This window comes from Homo sapiens, chromosome 8 (genome assembly GCF_000001405.40).
Source record: "Homo sapiens chromosome 8, GRCh38.p14 Primary Assembly".
Lineage (NCBI taxonomy): Eukaryota > Metazoa > Chordata > Mammalia > Primates > Hominidae > Homo > Homo sapiens.
In genome coordinates, this window is record NC_000008.11 from 20,807,456 (window position 1) to 20,834,714 (window position 27,259).

General features: G+C 42.5%; 1 long non-coding RNA gene across 1 annotated transcript in view, besides 1 other annotated feature; it reads left to right on the forward strand.

Moving 5' to 3' along the window:
* LOC105379315 (uncharacterized) overlaps nt 1-27,259 on the forward strand; it is a 283,462-nt gene that overhangs the window by 142,620 nt on the left and 113,583 nt on the right. The window lies entirely within an intron of this gene.
* Nucleotides 11,253-11,799: an enhancer, noted in NCBI's record as "NANOG hESC enhancer chr8:20676219-20676765 (GRCh37/hg19 assembly coordinates)". NCBI's record gives its function as "activates a minimal SCP1, AML or CMV promoter by ChIP-STARR-seq in naive and primed H9 embryonic stem cells {active_cell/tissue: H9 hESC(naive and primed)}" and the evidence as "EXISTENCE:reporter gene assay evidence [ECO:0000049][PMID:30033119]".

The window sequence follows — 27,259 nt, forward strand, 5'->3', positions numbered from 1 at the left end:
CTATGGCTAAATCAGTGATTAGTATAATTGTAGCTCAACATCATTTTTATGCTTTTTATTTTATTTTATTTTATTTTATTTTAATTCAGAACTACACATACTCCTTATCCATTTTAGATTAGGGTTTTCTCAATATTGTGCATCCAAAAGAAAATACAGGAATTAGCTCTTGAGATGTATATGACTACACTCTTGTCATCCATAATCCTGACTTCAAGTTTTTGTATTCATCAAAACTTAATCATTGGGTTGAATTTATAGTAAGTGACTGATAAAAATGTAAATTCATACATATATAGAACAAAATATTATTTTCTCTGTTTTATGTGCTAAGGTCCCATATTAGATATTACTTGAAAAGGAAGGATTTTTTTTTTTTGCTAAATAATAAGAGTTAAGAAACTCACTGTCATAGGACACACTTTCCTTTCCTGTATATGTGAATGGTTTTGCCTGTGGAAAGATGAGAAGAAGCAAGTGGTGATGTGATATAGTTTGGATGTTTGTCTCCTCTAAATCTCATGTTGAATCTCAACATTGAAGGTGGGGCCTAGAGGGAGATGTTCCATCATAGGAGTGGATCCTTCATGAATATCTTAGTGCCATGCCCTTGGTGATAAGTGAGTTCTCGCTCTTAGTTCATGTGAAAGCTGGTTGTTTAAAGAGACTGGCATCTTTCTTGCTCCCCCTCTTTTGCTCCACCTCTCTTGCAGTGTGTTACAATGGCTGTCTCTTCCATGATTGGAAGTTTCCTGAAGCCCCCACCAGAAAAAGATGCTGGTGCCATGCTTGTACAGCCTACAAAACTGAGAGCTGAATAAACCTCTTTTCTTTATAAATTACCGGGTCTCAGGTATTTCTGTATAGTAATGCAGAACAGACTAAGGCATGATGGTAAAACCAGTGCATTAACAGCTTCGGCTCCACATTTGATGTAGTTTGCCTCTGTGTTCCCACCCAAATCTCATCTTGAAGTGTAATCCCCAGGTGTCAAGAGAGGGACCTGTAATCCACAGGTATCAAGGGAGAGAGGTGATTGAATTATGGGGAAAGTTTCCCACATGCTGTTCTCCTTATAGTGACTGAATTCTCATGAGATCTGATGGTTTTAAATGGTGGTTTTTCCTGCACTCTCATTGACTCTTTCTCACTTGCTGCCATGAAAGATGTGCCTGCTTCCCTTTCTGCCATGACTGTAAGTTTCCTGGGGCTTTCCCAGCCTTGCAGAACTGTGAGTCAATTAAACTTCTTTTCTTTATAAATTACCCAGTCTTGGGTAGTGTCTTTACAGCAGTGTGAAAGTGGACTAATACAACGTGTGAAGGGAGAAGGAGCTAAAAAGGCAGAGTCTATTGCCGCTAGAATTCCTGAATATCCTGATGGTTTGTTCTCTGTGTGTTGATGGGTAGAATTTGATTTCTCCTGTTGCTGGTGCACTAAGTCATTTTTTTTTTTTTTTTTTTTTTTTTTTTTGAGACAGAGTCTCGCTCTGTCGCCCAGGCTGGAGTGCAGTGGCGCGATCTCGGCTCACTGCAAGCTCCGCCTCCCAGGTTCACGCCATTCTCCTGCCTCAGCCTCCCGAGTAGCTGGGACTACAGGCGCCCGCTACCACGCCCGGCTAATTTTTTGTATTTTTAGTAGAGACGGGGTTTCACCGTGTTAGCACTAAGTCTTATGACTCCATATTTTACCAGTGACTCTAAGAGAAAAATGTGTCTAGTTGCTTATTTAACACACACACGTGCACAGTTGTACATGAGATGCATCCTAAATACACTGTTATGTGTTAAGACTTCAAGATACATTTAAAGTACTGTACAATGGAGTGCACAGTTGTCTCAGTTTGCATGCCATCAAGTCAGAAGTAAGCAGTATTCCAGCAAGCTGTTTACCATTTGAAAGAGATATTTACAGGTCTCAGTAGGTGAGGCTTCTTTTTGGCTCTGTGGTGTTTTGTGCAGCTTGAATGAATGGGTCTGGATTTCAAGGCACCAACCAAGTGGTATTTATAACAAAGCTAATATACAATGTTTGAGAGATTTTCAAGCACAATCTCCATTTTAAAGAAAAGCAGAAAATACAGAGTGATTCTTCCCATTCTACAGATGAAAAGGAGATGTATTGCATGAAGCAATGGCTGCCCATCTGCAGGAGCATGGAGAGTGGAAAGTGCAAATTTTGAGTCAGAGAGACGTGAATTCAGTGTTCGGTTCTGCACTCGCTAGTCACTGGTCATGCATTTGAGCAAATTGTTAACCCCTGTGGGCCTTAATTTCTTTATCTGAAAAATAGGATCAAAATACATGGTTATTAATGATAGAATGGAAAGAGATCAAATGAGATAACTATGAAGCTTTCCATACTGAGCCAAGGACCAAGGTGCAATGAGACAAATATGTGCATCCTTCCTCCCCATTATCTCCCTCTTTTCTATATTTCCAGATTAGATATCACTAACATGCAGGGCTGCTTGGGGGGATTAAAGGATATACATTCATATATAAACTAACCTATAGTAAGTACTTAATAACTGGTGGCTAATGCAATTCTAATGGTAATAATAAATGAACAAAGCAAACACAATATTTCCTACCATTTTGTATAGAACTGTGAAGGACACAAGAGTCATATAAACTCAGCTCATTTCTTTGCCAGTTAGGAAATCTCCCTGATGAATGGTGTGCCTGAAGTACTGGAGTGGGGCATGGTTTAGTGTTAATCTCCCTTCTCAGGGTGGGCTGGAGACTCCAAAGCTTATGAATAAGGTGGGATTTGAGCAGGTCCTGGAAGGAGAGGAAAGAGAAGAATAAATGGGAAGAAAGGAGAAGGCATTGGAGGTGGATGACTCAGCAGGAGCAGAGACCTGGAGATGTGAATGAGGGTGGTGTGAGAGGAGGGGTAGGGAAGCTTCTGGCTTGGTTAGGGAATTGGGAATGTACCCAGAAGCAGGGAACATGGGACACATCCTAGGACCTATGGAGGGCCCTGAAAACCCAGCTGAGGAATTAGGGCTTTATTTTATAAGCAGCAGAGGGCCAGTAGAGATTCTTGAAAAGAGAAGTGTCATGATGAAAGAGATAGTTTAGTAGACAAATAGGGAAGAAATATTCAGGATGGATTAAAGAATAAAGAAGCTAAGGCCATGTGTGGTGGCTCACACTTGTAATCCCAACACTTTGGGAGGCCGAGGCAGGTGAATCACCTGAGGCTAGGAGTTCAAAACCAGCCTGGGTAACATGGTGAAACCGCGTATCTATGAAACAAAACAAAAAAACCCCACAAAAATTAGCCGGGCATGGTGGCGACACCTGCAGTCCCAGCTACTGGGGAGGCTGAGGTTTGCAGTGAGCTGAGATTGCACCACTGCACTCCAACCTGGGCAACAGAGCGAGACTGTGTCTCAAGAAAAATAAAAAGAAGAAGAAGCAGCTAAAACCAGAGACCAGTTAATAATTGCATTTCAGGAGAATGGTGATGAGGACATGCACCAGGGCATTGGCAGTTTCCTTCTTGTGGGAAGAAGCAAGACAAATAGATGCTGGAGGACAGATGTTCAAACACTATGCAGGGCAGCTGCGGAGGGGTCCAGTATAAAGAGGTAATGCCATTCTTGGGACCAGGAGAACTGGCCTCGAGGAAAGGGGACTTGGAAATCTCGGCCTTCAGAATTGCAATCAGCTGGTTGATGCAAACGTTTGATTTCCCCCATCTCATAAATAGGCAAGACTTATAATTTGCACAATGGTATTATTATTATCTAGGGCCTAGAAAAACAAAAATGATGTTTAAACTTCAGGCTTTTAAATCTTCCAATTTGTACTGCTCTCTGCCTAGCTAAATGCACAACACTGGAGCCCATTTGATGTTGAGCAAGGCTCTCTCCACACTGTCTTCTTCTTGATGAAACCTTAAATCAATGGATTTCCCATCCCCATTCCTCCCTTTTCCTCTCTAAAGATGAGTTGTTTCTGGTAACTGAAATTCTGTTTAAATATGTAGAGTTCTGAAAGGAGCGACGGCTGTTGTAGTGATATTTTAAATCATTAGAGTTTGTGACTTTAGACTATAAAATAGACGCCTATTAAAGTCCATAATTTAGGATGCTTCCATCATACACTGGAGAGGCAGAGACAGATGGAGGGTGGATGGACTGGAGGGTGAGGCCAGGTGCAGTCCTGACTCTGCCCTGTGATGCTCTGGCCACTCCGGGTTTACTTTAAAGGAAACATTTAAGAGCAGGAGGAAGGCAGATCCATGTGTCATTAATGCCTCTGTGCCATCTTTACCGTGGTCAGCCCTGATCTGTGCTGTTGGAGCGGTGTGTGTATGTGTGTGTGTGTGTGTGTGTGGAGGGGGTGAGAGTGTGCAAGTCACTTGTACAAGGGTGACTATAACACAGTACCTGCCTTTGAGGGACACTATTCCAGTGCAGTGTTTCTCAAACTCTTTTTTTCCATTATCAACTTAACATCCCCCGTCTCCAGAGCCTTTTTAGACATATTTTCCTAACTGCCCTCCCCATGACATTTTAATATCACAGGCATACTGTGTATTTGCTTATATACTGTGTATATAATCTTTTCCCTCTCATCAACCAATACTCTCCCCCTTAGAAAAGACATTGCCCCTGTTGAGAATGCATGTTCTAGTTGGAATGGAAACAATGATGTGTTTCTTTTCCTTCCTATATTGGAGGTAGCTATAAAGACATAAATGAGCTCAGAGGACCTGTAGTAGGTGGAACAATGGCCCAAAAGGATACACCTGGGAATGTTACCTTATTTGGTATATTTATCAAATACCAAATTTTTACCAATTGCATTTGCAAGTGTCTTTAAATTAAGGATCTCATTCTGGATTATCCAAGCAGGCTCTGAATCCAGTGATGAGCGTCTTTATAAGAGACATGCACAGAAGAGACACAGACACAGAGGAGAAGGCAGTGTGAAGACAGGCAGAAATTGCAGTGATGCTGTCATAATCCAAGGAACACCCAATGCCTCTAGAAACTGGGAAAGGAAAGGAGGGCTTCTCCCCTCGAGTGTTTAGCAGGAGCGTGGCCCTGCCAGCACCTTGATTTCAGACTTCTAGTCTTCAGAAGTGTGAGGGAATACATTTCTGTTTAAATTTCTTAAACTGTAGTTGAAACCACCATGTTCGTGATAATTTATTATAGCATCCCTAAGAAACGAATATAGGAGAGGATGGCCAACCTAGCCTCAGAGAGTATGAAGAAAACTAGAGAGGAGATAGACAATTTTTGGAGTGAATCTAAATGAGCAGGAGGTGAGCAGGCAGAGGAAAGGAAGGGTATCCAGCAGAAAGAACAGCACGTGGATATAGGGAAGCAGCAATGTGAGAAATGGCCGTGTTTCTCAGGCTTCGTTATTGCCTGGACGCTTCTCCCCACCTGTATACGTGGGAGATCTTGAGAGTTCAGTGCTGGGGCCTCAATTCTTTTGTTTGTTCTCTCTCCCTAAGTGCCCTCATCCTTTTCCCATTACCGTATACATGCTGCGGACTCCCACATGTCTATCTTCTGGCCAGACCTCTCCACAATGGAACCTCAGATTCAACTGCCATTTGATGTCCCCAGTTGCCTGGGCAGCTTCACCATCAACTATTCCCACACCTCACACTGTTTGTTTTCCAGTTTCTCCTTTCTCTGTATCACCAATAATATACATCTTCATCTACCAGATTGCTCATTCAAGAAAGGTGGACAACCTTACAGAGGCCTGCCCCAGATTCCTCAGTCTTCACCAACAACCACCAGCAGCTCTCCATCCTTCTTCCTATCTATGTGTCTATCTATGTGAATAGATAGACACATTCACAGAGGTGCTCTTGCCTGCCACAAAGGCAGTAGAACACTGACAGCAGGGCTCCAGACTACCTAAGTTCCAATCCCTACTCTGTCCCTATCTTTGCCTCAGTTTCTCATCTGGAAAACGTGATACAATTGTACCTTCCTCATAGGGTCATTGTGAAGGTTAAAACAATTAACCCGTGTAAAAGTTTTCGGAAACTAACACTAAGTATTAGCTAGTATTGCAATCATTGCCAATGCTTTTGTTCAAGCCCTTATCATCTCCTCTCTCACTTAACACTGTTACAACAGCCTTCTGCCTAAAGTCTCCGATTCCTTCCTTGCTCCTTCAGAAATCGTTGTCTGCATTGAAAGCTTGAGTAGTTTCCACTACATTGAGACTGACCCCCCCACCTCCCTACCACATTCTACGGGGCTCTGCACGACCAGCTACGTCCATCTGTCTCCTCAGCCTCAGCTCCCGTGATGCCCCATCACTTACTCTAGGGATATGCAAGATGGCAGCCGCTGGCCACGTGTTGCCATCAAGCCGTTGAGGTGACCTGGAGCCACATGACCAGTGACTGCCATCCTCCATATTCCTGTCCTAGAGTAAGTGAGGGAGCATCACGTGATGTCTGCATTTGACTAAGTTTCAGGGACTATGTGAGCATATTTTTTCTGGTCTCATTCTCCCTGAAACTTGGCCAGTTGCAACTGAGATGTGCTCACAGTGTAAAACACACCCTGAAATTTGAAAACCTAGCAAGAGTAAAAGTATTTTTAAAAGTGACTAATTGAAAATAGATTGCATGTTGAATGATAATATTTTGGATATATTAGGTGAAGTCAAATATATTAATTTTTTCTCTTTTTTGTGAAAATAAATTTTAGAATCACATACATGGCTCACATTTGTTTCAACTGAATAGAGTTATTTCATGGACTTCTATCAATTGTTAGGACATGCTAAGCCATCTCCAACCTCAGTCTTTGCACTTGGGCTTCCCTCTGCCTGGAACACCCTCCTCTTGCTCTTTATGTGGCTAGATTTTCTTGTCTTCAGCTCCTATGTCACCTCTTGAAAGAGGCCTCCTCTGGCCATTCATGGCTATTCTGAATCCCAGCACTCTGTTTATTTCCTTCTTTGCACTATTTTTTTTTTTTTTTTTTTTTTGCATCTGATTTACTTCTCCCACTCAAAAGTAAGGCCCATGATTCAGGAGCCATCTGTCTTGTTCCCTGTTGCATCCCAGTGCCTGCAGGGTGCCTTGGGCACACAGTCCATCTCCAATACACATTTGTTGAATAAATGAAGCAACAAAGAGATTGTTTTTAAAGAAGGCATTTCTTGCCATTTGCAATATTCTCTGGGCTCTGTGGATGGCAAGGAAGTGTAAGAGGGGACATTTAAAAATTCTCCCCCACTGAAGACAGGAGTGGCAGACACCAACCTCTAAAGAGGCAGAAACACTCAAAGCACCACACAAACAGAGATCTAACTAAAGTGCTTTTAATATGCAGCAGCTGTCAGAGAAGGCAGGGCTAGAGGATGAACTTAACTGTAGTTAAAGTATCCCGCTCATCTGTAGGTATATAGTAAGATTTTTGTTGTGTTTTGTTTTATTTTATTTTTTGCGACAAGATCTCACTCTGTCACCCTGGCTGGAGTACAGTGGTATGATCACAGTTCATCCACCTGGAGGTAGGTTGATTTGCTTCTCTTCCCCAGCCAGTCACCAAGACAGATTCATTGTTTCTGCTTATGAAATGCTCTGCAACCTGAACCCTTCTCTCTGCATCGTCTCTCCTTGCCTTGGGTCAAGCTCCCATCATCTCCTGCGTCTAATCCCGCAGGCTTCCAACTAGCCTCGTCCCTCCAGAGTCTCCCACTGGAATCCTCTCTCCCCACTTCTGTAAGAGTGATCCTACCTAAAGTGTCAATCTCCACTCCCCATCCCTGAAGTTCTTTTAGTAGCTTCTCGTGCCTCTTAAAATAAAGCACACATTCCTTCGTCAAGCATATAAATTCCTTTATGAGCTTCCCCCTACGTACACACGGTGGACAGTTTTCCAAGGTGGCCCAATGGTCCCCTTCTCCTGGTATTTACCCCCTGTGTCATCCCTTGCCATGGAATGTGAGTTAAATCTAGGGACACTCCTCTAGCAAATAGAATATGGCAAACAGAGTGGGATGTCATGTCTAAGGTTAGAAAGGACCTTGACTTCCATCTTGCTGGCACCAGATAATTCTCTTGATCTCTTGTTTACTCACCCTGCTGGCAGCAGCTGTCCTGTTGGGTGCTGCCCCATAGAGAGGCCTACAGGGCCAGGAGCTGAGGGAGTTCTCAAGCCAGCAGCTAGTGCAGAAGCGAATCCTGCCAACAGCCACTTGAGTGAGCTTGGAGCAGATAATCCCCCTCACATCCATGGATGCTTGAGATGACTGCAGCCCTGGCTGACACCTCAATTGCAGCCTCCTTAGAGATAAGAGCTGGAACCAGAGGCACCAGCTGAAGTGGGCCTGAATTCTTGTTCTACAGAGGCTGTGAGATGATAAACATTTGTTGCTTTAAGCTAGGTTTTAGGGCAGTTTATTAAGCAGTAATAGATAACTAATACACTGAGTTTTCAACCTCACCTTGTACTCACTTCTATTATACCTGCACACCCAATACTCCTATCACACTGAACTTCTAGCAAGTCCCTAATACATCCTTCATCTTCAGACTTTTGTATATATCATTTATTTCCTCTTTTGATGCCATTTATTAATTTCCAGCCTGGTAACACACGTTCCTTTATCAAAACCCATCTGTAGTAACACGGCTGTTCAGATGGCACTTCCAGTCTACCAGGCAGCCACTCCTCTACACTCCCAAATGCTTCAGTGCATTTCACTTAGAGCACTTTGTGGTGCTGTGGTGGTTTATGGATGAAGTGTGCTCCTTTCATGCGCCTTCCCCACCCCCTTAATTCCCCTCCCTCACACTCCCTCTGCCTGGTCCCCTTCAGCCACTACACCCAGAATTCCTAGTCAGAAGGAACTCTGTGTTCGTCTTCTATCTCCATTACCTCACACAGGGCTTTGGGCATATCCACAATTTAGGATTTTCAGTAAACAGAATTCTAAAATTGACATTGGAGGAATGAAACTCTCAAATCAATTTCCTCATGTGTAAAATAATAATAATAATAATACAGTCATATGTTGCTTAATGATGGGGATACGTTCTAAGAAATTCAACGTTAGACAATTTCAACACCCTTTGAACACCGCAGAGTGTACTTACACAAACCTAGAGAGTATAGCCTACTGCACACCTAGGCTGTATGATATCCTCTACTGCTTCTCGGCCACATACCTCTACAGCAGGTTACTAGACTGAATAGGTAGTTGTAACACAGTGGTAAGTATTGTTGCGGGAGTCCTTGCTCCCAGAGCTCCCAAGATGGTGGTGGGCTGCTTCCAAAATGGCGGCGGGCTGCTTCCAAGATGGTGGCAAGCCTCTTGTTCTCTGACGTGGGGTTCTTGGCCTCACGGATTCCAAGGAATGGAATCTTGGGCCATGCCGTGCGTGTTATAGCTCTATTAGAAGCCGTGGGTCACGGAAGAGAACCGTGGAACCCAGTGACTAGTGTTCAGCTCCATTAGGACGAAGCTGGGCACTTAGCCGTGCAGGAACAATGGCAAGCCTTTAGCCGGATGGGGAGCAGCAATGGGCGCCTCAGTGGATCAGGAGCACAGCGGACACCCTGACGGATCCGGAGGGATGGATGTCAGTGGCGGGTCTGCCACGTTGACCAGCAGCAGTGGTGGATGGCAAGCAAAAGCTCAGTTCCAGCTGTAACAAACACGGACCAGTTGCAAGATTTAACAGAGTGAAAATAGAGCTCCCATACAAAGGGAGGCGACCCAAAGGGGGTTGCCGTTGCCAGCTTGAATGCCTGGGTTTATATCCTGATCATTGTCCCTCCTGCTGTGCTCTCAGACAATAGATGATTGGCTATTTCTTTACCTCCTGTTTTTGCCTAATTAGCATTTTAGTGAGCTCTCTGATTGGTGAGGTGTGAGCTAACTTGCAAGCCCCGTGTTTAAAGGTGGACACGGTCAACTTCCCAGCTAAGTTTAGGGATTTTTAGTCAGCCTAGGAAATCCAGCTAGTCCTGTCTCTCAGTATCTGTGTATCTAAGCATAGAAAAGATTTGGTAAAAATAGGGTATAAGATAAAAAGATACACCTGTGTGGGGTCCTTACCATGGATGGAGCTTGAAGGACTGGAAGTTGCTCTGGGTGAGTCAGGGAGTGCATGGTGAGTGAATGTGAAGGCCTAGGACACTACTGTACAACACTGTAGGCTTTATAAATATGGCACACTGAGGCTACACTAAATTTGCAGAAGGCAAAGAGGGAGCAGACACATAATATAGTGAAAGCAGAAGCAAGGAAGTGAGCTCTTATAGGACCACTGTCATGTTTGTGATCCATCATTGACTAAATGTTGTTATGCGGCACATGACTGTCATAATAGTAAAATAAGAATATAACATAATCATAATAATAACAAAACAATATGGTCACGATAATAGTAATGTTATAATGATACTCTTAATAAAATATTATTATTAACGTATCCACGAGCCTGGCTCTGCACTAAATGCTTTTAGATACACTATCACTAAATCTCAAGATACCCTGTAGGGTAATTAAATTATATCCGTTTCACCCAGGCTCAGGGAGGTTAAATAACTTGTCTGAAGCCTCAGAACTAATGGTGAAGCTGGGATTCAGTCCCAGAGCTGCCTGATTATCCTGTAAGTTCTCCTTTCTTTACAAACTTTAAATAAAGGGCATCCAAGAAGATATTGTTGAGGAAGACCCGGAGAGCTCTTATGAACGTGAATGGCAGATTCCTGCCCAGGGTTCCAGGAACAAACAGTAGGTGAAGATCACCATGGTGCTGACGGATGGAGTAAAAAACTAGAGAATGACTTAAGAAGATCAGTAAATACGTAGGGGTGGCACGCAGGAGTGGAACAGTATGTCCTGGTGAAGGCACAGTGGGACCTCAAAATCTATTAGAAAAATGCTCCCCAAGGCCTGAAGTTGAGCTGTGGATGCAACGGGCTTGACTGGTGCTTAGATAGATGCAGGTTAGAGCCACACTTGAAAAGGTTGCACCCGGCCTTGGGAATTTTGATGAGCTTTTAAAATTCAGTGGACACCAGCACCAAAATCTTAATCTGAGTTTTGCTGCACATACTGGAAAGCAGGAAGCTCTCATCACGTGGAACCAGCCGCATCATTACTGCCAGTAACGACGGTAATGACCCCTGCCACTCCGCGCGCTTTCTGCTCGTCAATGGCTTCCCAGAGTTTCTCTTGGGAAAACCTTTCTCCATTACCCTCTGTCACCTGGTTCAGAAAGGTCTCAACCCAAGCACTAGAGATGATCTAGGACAACGTTCAAGGGGAGGAATTTTCCTTCCAGCAGATTTGAACAATTGTGACGTCAGTACCAGGTCAACCAATCAAAGCGCTCAACCCAGACTGTCAAATCCGGAAACACTTGGGCCCAAGGGCAGAGATACGTTTTCCCTCCGGTGGCATGGTATTTCACATCTATTTTAAACTGTTATTTCAAATTAGTAAACAGGATTGAGCAAACAGTTGTTGCTGTTCCGCTTTAAGTCTGTTTTCTTTTTCAAAATTATCCCTTTCACTTATCTCTCTCTCCTCCCCCGCTTAAGCAGGGCTATTGAAAAGCAAATTTCTTGGAGAGCTTGGGGAGATGGGTGTTGAGAATTAGCATATCAAACATACCCAGTAAACCGAATGGAAATTAGCAGAATCCCGACTCAGACATCTAGTCGCTGTACTAAATTGAGGTTAATGTGATCCTGTCCTTTCTGGTTTAAACAAAGATAGGGAAATCTAGTAAATTCTATTCCATCTCCCTCTGAGCCCATAGGTATCCCTCCCCAGTGGTGAAAATAAAAACAACATAAAGAAAAGGAGAGGGGGAAAAAAAGGAAAAGGAGAAAAAAGATCCCAAACATGTTAGTGGAATATATGTGTATATTCCCTGATATATAACTTAATAAAAGTTTATGGACCCAGGATACGGAAGCCACACTGAACAGATGCACTGGGACTGAAATATGGTCCAATTAAGTCTGTAACAGGGTGAGCTTTACTTTGAACATTCTCCAAGTTGAGATGAAAGCTTCCCAGAACAGATAAATCAGGCGACATAAAATAAAAAGGCTGATCCAGCAGTGCTCCCAAAAGGAGGGAAGGAGGAGGTAGTCAGATTGGAGGGGCTTGTTGGGCTGGATGGGGAGGTGAGGAAAAGAGGGTAGGGGTGGAAATTCAGGCAGTCCTTTCTACTGGGTGCTCAAAACAGTTGCCGGCTCTGTGATAGTAAATAAACAACAGCTATTTAAACCACTCCAATTAATGCCTTCTTTGGAAGCTATTTGTCTATGGAAGAGATGGCAGGGATTGCCTGGTGCAATTAAGCTGTTTGCTAGTAGTGCCTTCAAAAATAATTTGCTGTAGCCATGGAGTCATCTGTGGTTCATGGCCAACCTTCTTGCTGAGGGAGGGGCTCGAGCATAGAGACTGGATGTCCTGCTCTCCCTTCCTGCACTGCCCACCTCCGCACCAGCTAAGCATCAAAGCTAAGCTCAGGCTTACCTCCTCCAGGAAGCCTTCACTGCCTGTCTGGATCTTTAGACAATACATAGAATTCCTTCTTGTTTCCCTGCAGAAGGCACCAAGGGTGATCTTAACAAGTCCTCATGTTATGGAAAAGAGTCCCAGTCCAGACCCCAAGAGATGGTTCTTGAATCTCATGCAAGAAAGAATTCAAGACAAGTCCATAGAGTAAAGTGAAAGTAAGTTTATGAAGAAAGTAAAGGAATATAGAAAGGCTATTCCATAGGCAGAGCAGAAACTTGAGCTGCTGGTTGGCCATTTTTATGGGTTTTTTTTTGATGATATGCTAAAGAAGGGGTGGATTATTAATAAGTTTTCCAGGAAAGGGGTGGGCAATTCCCAGAACTGAGGGTTCTTCCCCCTTTTAGACCATATAGGGTAACTTCCTGTTGTTGTCATTGCATCTGTAAACTGTCAGCGTGCTGGTAGAGGTGTCTTTTAACATGCTAATGCATTATAATTAGCGTATAACGAACAATGAGGACAACCAGAGGTCACTCTCCTTGCCATCTCGTCTTTGGCTGGCTTCTTTACCACAACCTGTTTTATCAGCAAGGTCTTTATAACCTGTATCTTGTGCTGAACTCCTATCTCATCCTGTGACTTAGAATGCCTTAACTTTCTGGGAATACAGCCTAGTAGGTCTCAGCCTCATTTTACCGAGCCCCTACTCAAGATGGAGTCGCTCTGGTTGAAAGGCCTCTGACACTCGTATCAACCATCAGATCTAGGTTCGAATCTCTGCGCTGTCTCTTTCTTCCTGTGGGATCATGGGTGAAGTCTTCACTCAGATTCTGATTCCTGCCTGTAAAACACAATGCCTATTTCACATATTGCTGGGGTGAGGGTTCAATGAGATAATACATAGAAATGGCATTGTGTAGTGCCAGGCACATAGCTGGAGGTCAAGCCGTTTTAGTTCCTTGTCTCAATCTCCTTCCTTTGTTAAATGGGAATCAAATCCACTGTATTTATCCCTGGGATTTAGCAAAGCTGTCTTGATTTTTATCTTTCAGAATGTACAATGGTTTGCTCATTGGAAATATTTTTGAGTCTCTGTGAGACAGTCCATCTAGGTGTGATGCTTACCCCTTTATCCATAAGTAGGCAACCTTAGGCTGCTCTCTAATCCCTTAAAGCATCATTTTGCTCTTCTATAAAATAGCAATAATAATAATAATAGCAATAATAGTAATATCTTCCACACCACATTTTTGTGACCATCCAGCATAGTCTTGCATAGTAAGGATGAGGCATGTTGGTGCTCCGTAACTGCTAGCTCAGGTTATTCTCTCCTTACTAGAACTATCTCTAAGCCTCATAGAAGTTGAATCAATTTCCCTAGGTACCAGAGAGCATGTTGTAGAGCAAGAGTGCCCCAGCTAATCTCTAGCTCTTCCCGAAATTTATGTTGTCCTCTGATGGACAGCTGAGCTTTTCAAGAGAAGGGTCTGTGTCTGCTGTGTCTTTGTATCTCCCAGGGTTTGCTGAACTCTAGGGACATCTAGAGACTAAATGCACCTTTAGTGAATTAAAATATGCCATGTAGGGCATCTTCGAGGAGGTCAGTTTTCTTCCATAGTTAATAGGGGAAGCCTTTTGTCAGGATCCCAGTGCTAAGCAAATGGCCTGTCTTTGGGGCATCCAGTGTCTTCTCTCCTTGCTTTTTCCAGAGCATCTTTCCTCAGTCAGGAACACATCTCATGTTGTCCTCATCCCTTCATGGCCTCAGAGAAAAGACAAGGTCATTGGTCCTTGGTGCCCTCTGCCAGGGGCCTCTGTGTCTAAGTCTGAGCTCACCTTATGGAGTGAAAGCCTTCACTCTGTGATAGTAGAATCCTGTGCCCATGGCCAGGCAGGAAACTTCCTGACACTTGACAAGACTTTGGGCATTCACAGTTAATCCCAGGTGTGAAGAGAGGGTTCTATATAATGACCTGCCTGCAGTCATGGGAGCTGTGGTTCCAGTCTGCCATCTGTGCTCTGTGACTGTCTATCCACCAGCGATTGAGTTTTAAGGAGAATGTCAAGGTCCAGGCTGGAATAACCTGGCTGGGAAGTTAGAACATCAGGGCCCCCACAGAATCATTGTGGAACTCTGATCTGCAAAACTGGTTGAAGTAGATTGAGGTAGACAGTGGAGCCAGCTCCAAGTTCTTTGGTCTTTCCCCTCCCTGCCCATGAAAGATCCTTAGAAAGCCACCAGCACTCCCAGAAGCTAACCTTGAAAACCACTGACTCTCCCAATGCTCCACTCAGCTCTTCCGTCTATGATCAAGACAGATCATAATTGGACATCTGCCCTTGGGCTCCAGATGCCCACCTTCATGGTGTGATTTGCAGATGAGGTCGGGGCATCAAATTAGATCCCCAGGGCCTGTCACATAACCTGAAAGTCCAAGGTTCCAGATATACTCCTTAAGTTTTCTAGGTTTACTTTGCTAGTGGCCCCTTTAACATGTAAGTGGGCTGACCTTATGCCCATGTCTGGGTCCTCTTGAAAAGGATTTGTGTACTTGCAAGTCCTGGGCAAGGCTCTGGGGAGGAGGGGGGAGTCCAGGAGAAAGGGAACGAGTGACATGGAAAGTAAAGAGAACTTCCCTGTTCATAGGTCGTTTTAGAACAGTCCTATGGGAGGAGACATTGCAGATCAAAGGGTTAACGCTTCCTTGGCATCTACTCTGTGTGAAGTTATCTGATTTAATCCCTAAAATAACCCTATAAGACAGATACCACCTATCTTCTCTAACCAATATATGATAGTATAAACTCCATGAGTGGAGAACATTTGTTTTATTCATTACTGGATTCCCAGCATCTAGGACAGCCTCTCTCTGCTCAATAAACATGTGTTGAATGAATGACTCATAGCTACATTTTCCTGATGAGAAAACTGAGGCACAGAAATATTTATTGATGGTCATAGGTCACATAGCTGGCAAATGGGGGAGGCAGGATCCAAACGACATCTCCCTGACCCCAAAGCCCGTGTTTCTCCACATGCATTTGCTTGTGATTCTGTCTCTACATGTGCCCAACTTGAAGCAGGGCTGCAGGCCCATATACTCACCGTGCAGCACCAGTGAGACCACCGTTGAGTTTTTGCTACTAGTTTGGTGAAGCAGAATGGGGCTCTGGACTGAGATTCAGGGGTGCAGTCGTGTGGCCTCCCCCATAATCCCCTGTGTAAACCCTGCATATGCTCACTTGTTCCTGGGCTATAGTTCCTTGTCTGCCAAATGGGGGTCACCATAGCCTCCTCACCGACCTCTCAGATAGGGTCAGAGAAGCAAATGAGACTGAGGGGGGAATGGGAGTCAAAACACCATAAAGCCATAAACACACTTATTTAAAGGAAAATTGTTCAATATGAGAGCCTGCAGCTTCCCCAATAAAGAGAAATTTACAGAAAGGTAGAGAAAGGTGAATTGCTCTCATCATGTTCTGACTGTGGTAATTGGCCTAGTTATTTGCTGCTTCATTCTGAACCCCTTCCCTCCCGACTTCTCCAAGAAAAGGAGATTATTTTTAATTACAGTTTTACACTGGATTAATGAATCTCCACAATAAGTTAATGAGCAGGACACGGCACCGGGAGACAACACGTTTGATTGCTTTTGGAGACTTTCGTAAGGTTCATTATTTCCAGGCTGTCCCTACAGAGCCACCGTGACCTGGGTGAGGGGAGCCAGAAGGACACCCAGGATCTCTGAGCCATTACATTTATGATACCTGGGCCATGGCCACATTAAAGCCTGCTGGAGAGTGGCTGGCTTGGCTGTTCTCCAAGGGAGAAATTCACCTGATACAACCTAGTAGCCTAAGGTCTCCCTAATAAGTACTGTAGAGTGAAAAGAAATATCCTTGCCTCTCTGTGCCCTCCATTACCATTTTTGTTTAGATTCTTCTCATCAGATGTCTGGTCTTGCAAGGAGCTCCTAACAGGTGCTCCAGTGTAACTTCCCTTAAAATCCTCCAATGGTTCCCCATGGCCGAAAGGATAAAATCCAAACTCCTTAGTTCATTAGGATCTGAGTTTTGCTTCCCTCTCTGGAGAAACTACACGAGCCTCCTCTTTCGGGCCTCTGAGCGTTTAAGTGTTGTTCCTACCGACTACAGCATCTTTTCTTTTTCTACCTTCCTGAGTAAATCTTACTTACCCCTTGGGACAAATTAACTGGGAAGCGTTGTCTGCTGCTCTGAAGCAGTTTGGGACCTCTACAACACTCTCACAGCACCACCCTCAGAGGCCTTTACAAGGCTGATTCTCTTGCCTGCTGTTCCCTTGTCTACACAGCTGCCTTCCCTGCCCAGCCAGATCATAAACTTGTGAGCACAGTTGCACAGTCTTCCATATTCACCTTTGTGTCCTCTGCCCTGGTGTAGATACACAGCAGATTCTCAGCGAACGTGGGTTTCATTTGATTAAGGAGCAAGTGAATGACTGAATGAAGGAATTAGTGAAGGACCTCTCCTCTCTGAGTGGAGGAGATTACTTGCCTTTGGTTTCTCTCCCATGTGACACCCCTGGAGTTGTGTTTCTTGAAAACCTGAATTCTGTCCTCCAGGCTGCCAGTCATTAGTTCACTGTAGCTGTCAAGAGAGACTAGATTTTGCTGCAATAACAAGTATTCCCTGGTTTTCAGTGGCTTAACACAAGAGAAATCTTTTTCTCGCCCTTCCGCATGTCCATTGTGAGTAAGCTGGGAGGGCTCCATTCCATGCAGTAACTCAGAGACCCAGGAGGCAGGGGCTCTGCCATATTGTAGCTGCACCATCTGGGAGCCCTCTTGGTTGCACTGGCAGGGGCAGAGAAAGACTAGAGAATGGCATGAGGGATTTTTGCTGCCTCAATCTGGAAGCAATGAAGACTTACATTTCACTGGTGAGAGATAGTTATGAGGCCCCACCAACTGCAGAAGGTTACGAAATGCAAGGTAGCCAGGAAAACATTTCATGAGTGTTACCATCTCTACCACTGTCTTAGTCTGTTCGGGCCGCTTTAATAAAATATCAGAGACTGGGTAGCTATAAACACCAGAAATTTATTTCTCACAGTTCTGGATGCTGGGAAGTCCCAGATCAAGGGACCAGTGGATTTGGTCTGGTGAGAGCCCATTTCCTGGTTTATAGATGGCGCCTTCTAATTGCGTCCTCACAAGGTGGAAGAGGCAAACAAGTTCCCTGGGGCCTCTTTTATCAGGGCACAAATCCTATTCATGTGGGCTTTTCCCTCATTATCCAATCACCTACAAAGTCCCCATCTATTGATACAATTACCTTGGGAAGAGGGTATGATTTTTACTTACGAATTTTGGGGGACCACAAACATTAAGATTGTAATAGCCACATTCACCTCAATCAAGTCCCTTTCCATCCCTGGATTCAAAGAATACAATGTCCAACTTTAATCATTCTATAAATGGGGAAACAGAGACTGCCTTCCATCTGAGATCCATGGTTTAAATTAACTCTAAAAGTAGACAAATATCAGGGTATTTCTGAGCCTTTATAGACACAACCAAATGGCTTCCCCTGAGTCCCTGAATCTGTCCCCTAGACCAGCAAGGACAGCTCATTGCATCTGTGGCTTCTGCCTCCATGGGGTTATCTCATTTTCTATCCCCTAATGGCTTCAGGGAAGGATGGTTCTTTACTCTTCTACATACTCATCTCCCTGCATTCTTTCCTTTAGGATGTTATGTGCCCATCTTCCTTGAAATCAGTCTTGCATAGCGTCCTGTGCCTTTAAGCATATCATTGAGTGTCATGGAAGAAAGTCCCATGGTGAGAGCTACACACAAAGGACATTTTTAGGAGTATGGCTTGTCTTGATCTCCTGCTTCATGTCACTTTGTATGTATGCTGCCTTTCCAGACCCATAATACACAAACCATGTGACATCCCCCTTTCAAATTGGCTTAGGATTTTAGAGCTCAACTGCAGCCTTGTCCAAGGGAGGGAAAAAAAAGGGGGAAGGAAACTGCCCATCTAGTGTTTTGCCCACAGCAGGATAAAATGTAGCACGAAGACAGAGTAAGTCACAGAATAGCTGTAATTCGGCACCCACAACATTCTGGTTATCCTAGCAAATGAAAGCTCCAGAGCCTATGAGGCCCAAGGAGGACGCACGCCATATGTGGTTACCGAGGTTCGGAGGTTTATTTTTAGAATAACAGCTTGGTGGGTTGTTACGTCAGTTTGGCCTGAGACAGAACCCTGGAAAAAATGCTGTCTCAATCAGCACTGAAGCTGTTTGTGTCTATAGGGATTTGTTGTGAGAATGATTAATAAGCCAACATGTTTTTATTGGGTTCATTGTCTGTTTTCTATTTTAAAGAGGCAAAACCACACACAATGTTTTCTGTGCCCTCCAGCGGCTTCCATTTGGGTTAAGGGAGGCCAGCACATGCCATTAAGAGGCAACTTGAAATCCAGACCAAAATGTATTGCTCGCTGTGCTGGGAGGAGCTAGGAGGGACACTGTGGGCTGAGGAAATCAGGGAAGGCTAATGGGATAGGCAGACCAAAGTAATGGCAAAAAGGCAAAAAGCTGCTTGAAAGGACCATTTATACAGCATAGCAACTGCATGGTGGTGAAATTACACAAGGCCTTGGATGGCTATTGAATGATCAGCCAACTGGCTCAGGCTCACATCAAGGAACAGCAGAAGATGGAAGGGACAGATCCCCAGGCCAGTTAAAAGTAATATTTTCTCCTCTAAACCTGAAATACATCCCTGCTTAATGCTCATGACCTTCTCCTTCACTTACATTCTTCGAGTTTGAGGCTTACCTTTATTTACCGAATTGTAGCACTGTGAGGAATATTGCGTTCTCCCTCCCATTAGGCCAAGCATATTGCCTTATATTTAGCAAGCATGCGGTAAATATGCATTGCATTGAATGGAATGAAATTGCATTGCAGCTAGATTTTGAGATGCTTATGGCCAGCAGGAGTCTAAGGAGGGAAAGTATGGACCCATAATTGTTTGTTGTTGTTGTTGTTGTTGTTTTTTGTTGTTGCTTTTTGGTTTTTTTTTTTTAGACGGAGTCGCGCCTCGCTCTGTCGCCCAGGCTAGAGTGCAGTGGCACGATCTCAGCTCATTGCCAGCTCCGTCTCTCGGGTTCACGCCATTCTTCTGCCTCAGCCTCCAGAGCAGCTGGGACTACAGGCGCCCACCACCACGCCCGGCTAATTTTTTTTGTATTTTTAGTAGAGACAGGGTTTCACAGTGTTAGCCAGGATGGTCTCGAGCTCCTGACCTTGTGATCCGCCCGCCTGGGCCTCCCAAAGTGCTGGGATTACAGGCATGAGCCACCACGCCCGGCCTCTGTAACTGTTAACACCAGGAATTTGGACTTGATCCTGAAAGCAATGGGGAGCCTTTGATAATTGTGAGCAAGGGTGTCCTATGAGTCAAAGTCAATGTGTAACTGGCTGATGTGGAGTCAGGAGACCTAGTGGCTTGTTATGAACCTCTAGCAACTGCTCACGAACCAGAACCAGCCAGCCTGGGGTGGTGTGAAAACTGCAAGTTTAAATGCTCACAGGAGCCAGGCAGCTTCCTGACAAATGAAAAGGTAATTGGATACATTGTTTCCACAGACACACTTTGTTTTCAGGTTAAACATGTGCCACTAGCCTTCCCTTACATAAAGAAATAGCTCTGTTCATTTTCCTAGAAGCGTGAAGTCCTCTATCTCACTGGTCATTTTCCTGATTTGAATAGAATCATGAATGCAAAAAAAAAAAATTCTTTCTTATAATATTTCTTTTCCTATAAACTGACAGAACATCATAATAAATAGCAGCTAACACTTGTTCTCAGTGTCAGGGAGACCATAAGGAGTGGTGGGCGCAGTACCAGACTGGAGCCTATATTCTGGACTAAAGGCGAAAGCTGCTGTTTAGCTCCAGCCAAACGTTAATGAGCAGGAATATAAGCCTGACATCACCAAATCTTCTTTTTGAAAAGTAAGAAGAAATCCAGGGCTCTCCATGACTTCTTCAAATCTCAAAATGTTGACTCAAATGTATTTGAAACACTGTAGTTGCCAAGCAAAATGTAGGCGCTGATTCCTGCTTCTCGGCCTCTTTTTGGGTGTAAAAAAGGATGCATCTGGAGCCCAAAGCCCATTCATCAAGTTCTGACAATCACTGACCTTGAGCACTGACCTTCACCTTGACCTTAAGGTCTTTGAATCTTGAACCCCTAATTTTAAAAATGCAGATAACACTTCTCTCCTTGCAAGATGGTGAGGATAAAATGAGATGATAGTGGGAAAGCATGCTGCACGCTCTGAGTGCTATGAAAACCTTTGGGTCTCTTAGGTCTGAGATGGAAGGATACACGACCGAACCCCTGCTTACCTTATAGTGAAATTCCTTGGTGGGGATATTAGGAAGAATAATAGTTGTGCAACTGGGGCACCGATGACAGCGTTCCCAGAAATTACTTGGTCTCAGAAGCTTTCTGAAATCTGGGAATGGAGAATAACTTTGGCCACATTTATCTAAGGCATTGCTAGCTGCAATCAGTGGTCCAAGTAAGGAAAGGTATCGCTGAGTGAAATGCATATGATTTTTAGATCAGCATAAGTTCTCTGAGATGTTTATGGAGTTCAAAGCCCTGAAGAGAGGACTGTTCCAAGTGTCAGGTTGACCCAGTAGAAAACAACAGCAAAATAGAGAGGTAAAGATGATAAATACAAAGAGACCCTCGTCTCTTGCTGCTGGAGAGGCCTGAAGTCTGTCCTATCTTTAAAGCTCAGCTTATATTTGGTCTCAGTTTGATAAGCTGTCACTGAAAGCCCCTTTTCATGTTCTCAGCTTTCACCGTGGTAGGCTGGCTGAGCCACCGGAAATTATCTTACACAGAGACGGAGTCAACATTGAATGACTTTAGCTGGGATGCCCTTTCCAGTGTTAACCCTCTTCCGGCATTTGCATCTGTAATGGTCTGCTTTGCAGACTCACAGACGGGCCAGTCATAAAAATTAATGCAGTTAAGGGGTAAACTGTGTGTTTTAAACCATGTCACTGTGTGTGTTGGATTATGTGGGATTTCCAATGGAGGCCTTACCTAAATTCAGGCAGGTATGGGTGTATCTCGTCTACAAAATGGCCCTCTGGTCCAAGAAAATTCACGAGGGGGCCATTTTGACCTGGTAGCAAAGCATTCATCTTCAGGGAAGACAACTATGAAGAATGTGTGATTGTGTCTCCAGTGGGGCACGCGGACTCACTGTGCCTCGTGTCAGGGAGACGGGATGATGAGACGCATAGAAACTGCTGCTTTACTGAAAACCTGTGTGCCACTGAGACATGAGATTATGTGCCCCTAGACCCAAGGGTAGCACAGAAGAAGGCTGACTCCCATCCTCAGCACTAGCTTCCATAGCTATTGCACCATGAAGACGGGCTGCCCTGTAACAGACAGCATAAGCATGTCCTTAAAACAATTCTTTGTGTGTTATCTAAAATTCAAATTTAACTTGGAATCCTATATTTTTATTTGCTAAATTTGGCAACGTTACTGTGAAGTCTTCACTGTCGGGGGAGGAGAGGGTGCACAAAAAGCCTCATAGAAGTAGTGTTTTCAAGAGGACCCTGGGGACTTTGCTGGGAGCTGAGTTATAAGGCAAGCAGCACAGGGTAAGAGCCAGTGAAATGTGTGATGTTACTGACGTGACACCATCATGTGAAGTTTGAGAAAACTTAGGTTCCCTTTTTCAAAGAAGTGGAAAAATATCCATGGTTGACCTTAAGAAATTTCTTGCACTCAACTACGTACAGTAAAACTCACCTTTTATAGTGTATAATGATGGGAGTTTTACAGACAAATACAGTCATTTAAACAGCAAGCAGGTTATGGGATAGTTCATCATCCCATACTTGTGCCGTGCCCCTTTGTAGTCATTTGATCATCTTAGCATACATAGAAAAAGCATTTGACAAAGTTTAACATACATTCATCATAATCTCTTATTAAGCAAGGAATAGAAGTGATGTTTCTTAATACCATACAGAATAGCCTACAACAAATGTATAAAATATACTTATGGTAAAAATTAAAAATACATGAAAATATAAGTAAATTATGCCAAATATTACTATTTCTACTCAATATGATTCTAAGAATTTTTAGCAAATGCAATAAGAAAAGAAAAAAATTTAAAAATATAAAGACTAGAGGAAAAGCATGATTGTTGTACTTCACAGATGATATGAAATAAATTTTAAAAATCAAAAAGAATTTATGAAAACACTTTGAATTAATGAATGAAGCCAGCACTTACGCAGATTGATAGATAAACTTGTTATGTAAAAATCAATTGTCTTTTCATGTGGTCACAACAGTGAAATTTTCGAAAAATATAAAACAAAAAATGAAAATTTAGCCCATCAAATATTCAACCAAAGACTTGTACCTAGTCTATATAAAGAACTCTTACAACTTAATAATAAAAAATTCACAGGTAAACTAGGCATTTTACTAAAGAAGATATAAGAATGACAAGCAGGTAAAAAGTTACTCAAAATCTTTATCATCATGGATGTGAAAATTAAAATTATAAGATAATAATGCACATACTAAAATGACTGAACTTTAAAATTAAAATCGAAACACATGTGAGAATGTGAAGCAGCAGTCCTCTGCTCCTAGTAGGAATATAATATGATACAAACAGTCTGGATGGAGAAAGATTTGGCAGATTCTTAAGACATTAAACACACACCTATCATGCATCCTACTTATTCCACTCCTAGGTATTTAGCCAAGAGAAATGAAAACATATGTCCATACAAACATTTGCACATGAATATTTATAGCAGCTTTCCTTGTAATAGCCAAAAACTGGGAGCAACCCTAATGTCCATCAACAGGTAAATGGATAAACAAATTGTGGTATATCCATACAATAGAATACTACTCTGTAATAAAAAAGAATGAACTATCAATATACATGACAACCTAATACTGTAAATAACCCAAATATTGATAGTCAGGTGGATTAATTTTAGTAAAAGTCATACAATGGAACACAATATGAGAATGAAAATGAACAAGGTATTGCTATAGTCCGCAATGTGGATGAATTTACAAACATAATGTTGAGCCTCAAGCCAGACACAAAATTACACATATTCTAGATTTTTATGCATATATAGTTTAAAAAAACCATAATCTCTATTGTGGTAAACATCAGGACAGTGACTGCTTTTGGAGAAAGGTATTAGTGACAGGGAAGGGATCTGAAGGGGCTTCTGGGCTGCTGGAAATAGTCTATTTCTTGATAAGACTGGTAGTTATATGGGCCTTATTTTTCTGTCAAAATTTCTCAATCTATACTTATGATTTATTTTACTGTACATCTATAATATTTCACTAAAGTGGATTATTACAAAACAATATTTTAAAAGGTCTTAATGATCTTGTTTAACTGATCTTTACCACAGACACACTATTTCCCAATATATATATATTCAGCTTGTGGATTCTAATCTTCTAATGAAGATTGTCCATGATTATTATGGGTTTGCACTTTACTTTCTCATCTTGATTCAGCTCATTGAGGTTGAAGACCATGTCTTAGTACATCTTTGCATCTTACCTTATGGAGCAGTTTTGAATTTCTTTGGACACTTCTTGTTCCCATAAAGATATTGTCATTCCAGCCATACATTCTCAATTTTTATTTGGAAAATATGATCACACATATATATCTGTATCATGATGTCCTATATCTAAGAGATGTATCATAAGCCTTTGATTAATGTCACTTGAGAATAATTTCTTAATTTTTTATATCACAGTGAGTAAATTGGTATTTTAAACAAACTTATCACAATAATCATGTCCCTCCACAGACTTTGGAAATCTTATGGATTGTCTCTCTGAACCCATTAGTTAAAGACCCCACAGTTTGTAGATACCTTCTAGAACCTGCAGGGTCTCAGGGTCAGCCCTTGGGTCTAGATCCCTCAAGGCTAAGTGAACTTGTAGCCAGTTTTCCTAGGATTAGGAACCAAGAAATGGAAAATACAGTACTTAAGACTCAGATTTTGTGGCCAGAACGACTTTGATTTAATCTTAGCCTCTCCACTTCCTAGCTACGTAACCTTGGGCAAGTTACTTAACTCTGTTAAGCCTCAATTTCAATCTTTGAAATTGAAATAATGATTGTTATTTTATAGGATTATTATGAGCATTAAGTAAGATCTTGCATCTAAAGTACTCAGGACAAAGCATATCAAGTATTAAGCACTGCAAAAATAATAGCTTTTATTATTCCAAGTTGTTTATTTTGCAGAATAAGCTCTCAGGAATGCACTGACATTTATGCTTACATACAGTCAGTAATATTTGCACACACACATGAAGGCATGTGAAGGTTTCATATCCTCTCACTCTAAGACCTATCTTTGTTATCTGGCTTAAACCACAGATGTGAATCAAGGGCACTTTGAGCCAAACCAAAAGTAGGTAAACCCCTGTAAATAGCTGTAAGATATTCCAGGGAGGGGAGCTGGGAGAGAAACACTCCATGTGAACAAATTGAGTTATTTAAATAAACAAATTCTGGAGTGAATGTATGCCATAATGTGGGTCACTGGATTATTTACAATTCTGAGATACACAGGCAGTTGTAGCCTCAGATTAGAAAGCATTCCTCAGATTCCTGGTGACTGGACTTCATTTGTCTGTTTACTTGCCTTTTCAGTAGGATAAACTAGGAATTTGGGCCAGGAATAGGGGCACTTGAAGAGAGAGTCTCATTTTAATAAAATGTTGAGAAACTTGCTGTGGAAGTATTTGGAAATTTGGACTCTGTTACAAAATTTTCCATTAAAAAGTAGTCACACCTTGTAGGCTTATCAGACAGTTGCAGAAGTAAATAAGAACGTGTTGATCTTTATACACTTAGGTGATGGGGTCACTAGTTGCCTCAGTGATAGGTTTTGTGACCATGCTAACTGCCATGTGGATAAAGAAATGTTAACATTAGTAAATATTAACGGCTGAGACTTAAGCAATGTGTATGAAATTCAACACATTACTGGGACACACTTACTGAAATTCAAGAGTATGAGAGACAGAGCATCAGAGACAGAAACGCAAAATGGAACTAACGGCATATATATTATCTCTAAGTTATGAGAGAAGACTGAAGTAAATGCCATCTAGATTCACATTTACCTAGAAGATGGTTGTTGTATTAGTCTGTTTTGTGTTGCTATAAAAGAATGCCTGAGGTTGGGTAATTTATAAAGAAAAGAGGTTTATGTGGCTCAAGCTTCTGCAGGCTATACAAGCATGGCACCCATATCTGCTCGGCTTCTGGAGAGGCCTCAGGAAGCTTTTATTCATGGCAGAAAGTGAAGGAGGAACAGGTGTGTAACGTGCTGAGACAGTGAGCAAGAGAGAGGCCAGGCTTTTATAAACAACCAACTCTCTCATGAACTAATAGAGCAATAACTCACTCATTTTTAAAGGCACCAAGCCATTCATAAGGGATCCGCATATGTGACCCAAACACCTCCAACTTGGGGATCATATTTCAACATGAGATTTGGAGGAGACAAGCATCCAAACTATATCAGATGGAGAGAATATGAACATATAACCATGATATGTTTGGACCACCAAGTATCTTCAGAAGTTGATAGAGCAGGTGGATCTTTGTTTCTCTGAGTTATGTTTGTGTGGGAACTCTCTAATCTCTTAATCAAAAATGAATCATTCCTTTCTCTGAGTTCCTGAAACATGTGTCTTATTCTATGCTTACATACATTCAGGAATATTTGTACAACTTTCATCTTAACTTTTGTGATACATAGTCTTTTTTTTTTTTTTTTTTTTTTTTTTTTGAGACAGAGTCTCACTCTCTTGCCCAGGCTGGAGTGCAGTGGTGTGATCTCGGCTCACTGCAACCTCTGCCACCTGGGTTCAAGCGATTCTCCTGCCTCAGCCTCCTGAGTAGCTGGGATTACAGGTGCCTGCCACAGCACCCAGTTAATTTTTTCATATTTTTAGTAGAGATGGGGTTTCACCATCTTGGCCCGATTGGTCTTGCCCTCCTGACCTTGTGATCCACCTGCCTTGGCCTCCCAAAGCACTGGGATTACAGGCGTGAGCCACCATGCCTGGCCCTATGATACATAGTCATTTTAACAGTTTGGCCACGTAAGGGACACAGATCTTGATAATAAATGAGAATGCTATTTATTGTGCCCCTTGGCAAAGGTTGCATCAGATACTTCATACCAGGTGTTGCAGACTTAGAGCCTACAGACAGTCAGCATGTGTGTTTTGTTTGGGGTGCATGATATGAAAAAATTATTTCCAATGTCTTTGGATGGGGCATGCATTTTCCAGGGACATATGCTCTGCAGATTTCCATTCTGTATTGTCTTATACGTGACTTTCCTCATTCATTTACATTATTTGCATAGCCCTTGCAGGCTTTGGATTTGTGATTTTAATGGTAAACTAAAAAATAGCTATTGAGCAAAACAAATACTTGCATCTTCATTTTAGAGAAAAAGGTAATAAATTTAGTCTGGGGATTGAGAGGAAGTAGCTTTAACCCTAGATAAAGAGAGAAGAAAGGAATGCAAGGAAGGACTAATCAAACATTGAGAAACAATTATCGAGAAGAAAAGCATATATCAAATCAAGCAAAAGTTACTAGTTGGTGAAAGAAAAGCTCTTGCGTGTGCA